This window comes from Homo sapiens, chromosome 11 (genome assembly GCF_000001405.40).
Source record: "Homo sapiens chromosome 11, GRCh38.p14 Primary Assembly".
Taxonomy (NCBI): Eukaryota; Metazoa; Chordata; class Mammalia; order Primates; family Hominidae; genus Homo; species Homo sapiens.
Window position 1 is genome coordinate 12,551,803 of NC_000011.10, and position 6,269 is coordinate 12,558,071.

The window sequence follows — 6,269 nt, forward strand, 5'->3', positions numbered from 1 at the left end:
TCCATTCTCCTGGGTGCCCATAATGGGGCAGGGGTCAGGAGTAGGGGCAGTGAGCCACCCATCTGGTCTAGAAAGCCTGTTTTAATTAGAAGAAATACAATAAACATTCCTCCCTAAACTTCAATGCGTCACACTGCAAGTCTCTTAGTGCCCTGGGACTTAGTGTCTGAAATCTTGAACCTCTTAGAGTACATTAAAACTTCCATGTTGAACGCACCCAGAGAGATTTCTCCTTTCTCTTGGGAGCAAAGAGTTTTGGACAACTTCTCAGAATACTTCAGTCTTTGTGTTAATGGCTGGAAGTTCTTTATAAATAAGTGATTTCTGGGGAAACCTCCCCACTAGGCTTCCAGGACCCACAAGGTCTTCAGAGGTTGGGCTCAGAATGAGCATGAATCTAGCCTCTACTGTTTTTTCCACACTCTTTATCTGCCTACTTCTACTTTCTCCCACGTGGGTCTCAGTTTTCTGCCTTTGTTCACTTTAGTTTTTCTTGTCCGAGTCTCTTTTACTCACCTCTAATTAAGGACTCATTTGCTTATGGCCAGTGTCATAGCGAGCACAAGTAGAGGCCTGAGATTCAGGCTACACTGGGTTCAGATCCAGATACTTCCATTTGCCAGCTGTTTGTTTTAAGGTAAGAGACTAAACGTATCTCTTTTGTATACAGGGATAATCATTCCTACCTCATAGGCTGTTGGTTGATTAAATGAGATCTTCTGTGTAGGAAGCTTGTAACAAAGCCTGGCGTATCACTGGATACACAATCCATGTTAGCCAGTAGTTATACCACGCAGCTCACCTAAATAGACTCACTAAGTACTCAATATAGGTTTCTTAAATTGACCTGAAATAAACATTTTCCAGACTTCTGGGTTGCACTGAACAGGTTTCCTCTATCACCCGTATCTAAGTTAAAATTTAAAAACCAGAAGCTTGAAAGTTGAAGAGGGACAGGAAAGAAGGCAATGAAGTCAGCGGTTGCTAGAAGCCTAGACTGCCTTTGGCTCAGTCCAGATTTGAGGGAAACCTGGAATTATTGCAATTTCATCACAGCAGCTGGTCCAAGCTAAACCTGCCAGAACTGCTTAGAGGCCAGATCTGGATTGCAGTGATAGCTGGGCCCTGCTGAGAAGCAAGAAGAAACTATTTATCTGGCATTTTTTTCAACCCCAACCAAGAATTTTCTTTGGCTCAAGATGCTGTTGGGACCGGTTTTCATTTGCATGGAGCTCATTTGAGGACTGGTGCCTCTGACAGCGGAGACTTCTTAGAAAGACTTCCATCTTCCATCCCCCTGCCTCCTTTCCACGTGTGCCTTTCCCATGATTCAGAAATAATTATTCATCCAGGAAAGCTAATCCCTGGGTCTTATTTGTACCTGGATTGTGCCAGAACCTCATGTATAAGTTCTCTCTGATTGAGCTCCACACACAGCCTGTGCAGTCCTGGGCATCAGCAAAGATGGCCACCAAGGAACATTTGCCCTCCTTCCAAACTGGCAACCTCCATCTAACTGAACCCATGTTAACTGATGTGGCACATTTTAATACATTTCACTGTTTCAAGCTGTGGCAGCAAATTAGAGTGGGAATCTTCTTAACAGCTGCTTCTAGAGTGGCTGTCTGAAATCTCTGCATCCTTGACTCTTTTCTGCCAGCGAAAGAAAGATTTGTCTATGTATTATACGTCCTGGAGGGGTTTCATGGCAGTTCTGTCTGGACTAAAATGTCACCATTCTGTATTATTATTACATAGATTCTGCATTTTTTTCTTTTTTTCTTTCTTTTTTTTTTTTTTTTTTGGTAGAGACAGGGTCTCAGTATGTACCCAAGCTGGTCTTGAACTCCTGACCTCAAGTGATCCTCCTGCCTTCGACTCTCAAAGTGCTGGGATCATAGGAATGAGCCACTGTGCCTGGCTCACTTTTCAAATAAGTAGCATTTGAGGGTGGTATCAATATTCCAGGAATAGAATAATGAGATGTTTTTTGAGAAAACATTCAGAATGTATCCAATCAGATCAGCATTTTCTGCTTCAAGCAGTCACCCAATTCCAGTGACATTGCCAGGAGCTGCCTTAAGAAGCCTGTTGTATTTCTTTAGTTTGCCATTCTTTGACTAGAAGTAGTCAAAGCTAAGCACAAGAATGGGCTTTGCTTTATTGTTGTCATGGTGAAAGATTAGAAAAAACTTAAATGTTTATTGATAGGGAAGTGGCTAAATCAATTATGACACATTCAGTCAATGGACTACCACATAATCATTTAAAAAGTATGAGGCAGTTAAGAATGATCAACTACCCAAAGTGATTTATAGATTCAAAGCAGTCCTTATCAAAATTCCAATGGTGTTGTTTACAGAAATAGAAAAAAAAAAACAATACTCACATAGAACCACAAAAGACCCCAAATAACCAAAGTAATCTTAAGAAAGAAGAATAAAATCAGAAGCATCATACTTCCTGATTTTAAACTGTATAACAAAGCTATAGTAATCAAAACAGTGTGGTTCTGGCATAAAAGCAGACACAGACTAATGGAACAGAATAGAGAGACTAGAAACGCATGCATATATGGTCAACTATTATTTGATGAGGGCACCAAGATTACAAAATAGGGAAAGGAAAGTCTCCTCCATAAATAAAGTTAGGAAAGCTAGATATTGATATGCAAAAAAAGAGAAAGAAATAGAATCTTTATCTTACACCAGCACAAAAATTAACTCAAAATGGATTAAAGACTTAAATATAAGACCTGAAATCATAAAACTCCTAGAAAAAATAAAAAAGAACAGAGAAAAAGCTTCTTGACACTGGCCTTAGTAACGATATTTTTACGTATGACACCAAAAGTAAAGGCAACAAAAGCAAAAACAAATAAGTGGGACTACATCAAACAAAAAAATTTCTGCACAGCAAAGGAAACAACAAAATGAAAAGGCAACCTATGGAATGAGCAAAAAATATTTTCAAGTCATATATCTGATAAGGGGTAAATACCTAAAATATACAAGATATTCATGCAACTCAATAGCAAAGAAATCCCAAATAATCTCTTCTAAAAAGTGTTACAAAGAACTTGAATTGATACTTTTCCAAAGGAGACATACAAATGGCTAACAGGTACATGAAAAAGTACTCAGTATCACTAATCATCAGGGACATGCAAGTCAAAACTACAGTGAGATGTCACCTCACACCTGTTAGGATGGCTATTATCAAAAAGATGAAGTAAGTGTTGTTGAGGATGTGGAGGAAGAGGAATCCTTGTATACAGTGGGAGGGAATGTAAATTAGTACAGCCATTATGGAAAACAATATGGAGGTTCCTCAAAAAACTAAAACTAGAACTACCATGTGATCCAGCAATTCCACTTCTGGGTATATATCTGAACGAAGTTAGATCAGTGTCTCTCTGCACTCCTATGTTCGTTGCAGCATTATTCAAATTGCCAAGACATGGAAACAAATGGATAAAGAAAAAGTGGTATATATAGACAATGAAATATTATCCGGCCATAAAGAAGAAAAAAATTCTGCCATTCCTGACAGTGTGGATTAACCTGGAGGGCATTATGTTAAGTGAAATAAGCCAGAAACAGAAAGGCAAATATTGTATGATTCCACTTATATGTGAAATCTGAAAAGGTCAAACTCATACAAACAGAGTAGAAGGATGGTTGCCAAAGGCTGGGGGGGTGGGGGAAATGGGGAGATGTTGGTCAAAGAGTACAAACTTTCAGTTATAAGACGAATACATTGTGGAGGTGTAACATACAACATGGTGACTACAGTTTATACTATTGTATTGTACACTTGAAATTTGCAAGTAGAGTAGTCCATAAGTGTTCTTACCACATACGCACAAATGGTAACTATGTGAGATGATGATGCATTAACTAACTTGATTCTGGTAATCATTTTACAATATATACGTATGTCAAATCATCACATTGTTCCCTTTAAATATATACAACATTATTTGTCAATTATACCTCAATTCGCTGAAAAAAGAAAAAAAAGAATGAGCACTAAGTGTTGCTATGGACCGATCTCTGAGAAATACAGTTAAATCTGGAAATATACAAGAACTTGCTTGTATTCTTTCTAGTGAGGAGAACTAATGGCAAGGAGTAAGGACAGGGAGAAGATATTCTTGTCATCATCTAATTTTTGTATACTTTGAATTTGGTACCTTGTGCATATTTCTCATGCACAGGATGATTAATTTTTCGAAGAGTAAGAGTCTATCTAGTCCAAAAAAAAGACAGTTGAACTAGCTATGTAATTCAAACAATTAAAATCATAAGTGCTCTCATTTTCTGAGCAATTACTCTATATCAGCTTCTGTGCTAAGGCTGCTTACTACATATTTTCCTCTGATTTTCTCCTCAAAGACATCCCATCAAGTAGATTTTACCGTCTTCCTTTTAGAAATGGGGCACTGTGACTCAAAGAGTTTAGGAAAGTTGCCTGAGATTACACAATCTGCACGAGGCTAAACCAGGATTCAAATCCAGGTCAGACTAACTTTTTCCACTGGCCCCTGGGGGCTTCGCATGGTCAAACATTCAATAAGACTGTGCCTCCCCCATTACTCTATCCCCAGAGCTTTACAGAGTGCTTGGCACACAGGAGGTGTCCCATATGTGCTGACTGAATGATAAACAAAAAGCAAAACAGAGCAAGAGTGTAGTAATTTCCTTAAAGGAATTTTACACAGGTTGGAGCATCTTGGAATTGCAGGGTCACAGCCCACTGAGATTACTTGGAAGGCAACAACCTGAATTTGAGTAGCTACAGTTTGGTGTGATTGCTTAAAAAAAACTACTCACATTGTTTTGAATCACACCTCACAAAGCCTCATTGCTTCAAAATGCCTTTCTGGTGGAAGATGATTTCAAACAAACCAAAGGATGTGATTTTCATTAAGCTACACTTGAAAATAGCTGTTTTCCAGATGGGATCATATGAATAAATAAATATCTCTTTTGTTTTATCTTCTGTTTTTTCTTCATGATTATTGGAAAAGTCCAACAACCTTGGTGATTCCTTTCAGGGTGAATTTGGGACCCAAACAGTTAAGCAACCAGCCAATTTGCTTCCCTGCTGCCTCCCAGCCAAGGAGATGAATGGAATGCACATGAGGTCGCTTGGCAGGCATCCACATTCCTATGGGAATGCTGCAGCAGCCAGAGCTTTGGGACATGAAGAAGCAAATGTGTGGGAGTTATGGGGCAAACTGCAAACAATCCAAAGTCCCGAAAAAATGCATGGAGCCTCTTTGGCCCAAGGATGCTCTGCAGAACACCGGCAAAGACCCTGCCCTTGCTCAAATCAATGATAGAGGCAGGACTCGGCACTGCCCTGTTCTTTCTTACTGCTGCCAAGGCCTTGAATCGTACAGGCCACCTCCAGGACTACTGTGGATGTGAGCCATTAAAAGAAGCTCAACAAGGAGTTCCATTTCTTCAGCTGATCTTTATACTCGTTCCTTTTTCTCCCATACTCAAGGAAATTACCTTGAAGAATTTGGCTCACCCCCTTCTTCCTTTTACCTTCCCCATCCCTGTCTTTGTCCTTCCCCATGAAAGAGGGCTTGAACCCAATGACATTTTCATTTTCTTCAACTATTTCCCTTGTGTCCTTTAAAATGCCCTCTAGGGACCAGGTGAGCTCACTCGAATTCTGCATTACAACTCCCTCCAGCTTTTAGAAAAGGCTACATCTGATCAACAATGATGGTGATATGGTGGAAGGTGGACTTTTCATTTAAAATTAGAAACCACGATCCTCACATATTTTCCCCCAAAGAGCAGTTCCTAAGTTTTTTGTCACCACATTAAAAAAAGAAGCTCAAGCCTAGAGTTGTCCAACCAACCAGAGGCCTCTGGGTCTCCCCCAAACATCTTTTGTGCTAGTCATGCTGAGAAATGCTTCCTACTGAGAGAAGGGAGCCCTGAGTTCTGTTTTACCTTCTCACTAAGGTGACTATGGTACATGGGAGTCATAGGCATTTTAGAAGCATTCCCTGTGGTGATTCTGGCTATGAAGACTGCTTTCTCTAGCGCCATTACACTAGACTATGGAGGAAATAGAGCCATTTGAAGCTATGGAGTTCTCTGTTTCATCACATCCCTAAGTTTTTGCAAAAAAAGAGATACATTTCCATTCCATCTACAAAGGCAAAGATAAACCAGCAAGTCACATGTTTTGTTAGCGAAGCCCTGCCTAATAAATTGCCCTTGAAGGCAAAACTAGCAGTCTCT

General features: G+C 39.7%; 1 annotated feature.

Moving 5' to 3' along the window:
- Positions 5,000-5,294: a silencer, noted in NCBI's record as "identical tiled regions #15612 and #8581; HepG2 Repressive non-DNase unmatched - State 7:EnhWF, and K562 Repressive non-DNase unmatched - State 21:Repr". NCBI's record gives its function as "represses a minimal TATA promoter and a strong SV40 promoter by Sharpr-MPRA in HepG2 and K562 cells {active_cell/tissue: HepG2 | K562}" and the evidence as "EXISTENCE:reporter gene assay evidence [ECO:0000049][PMID:27701403]".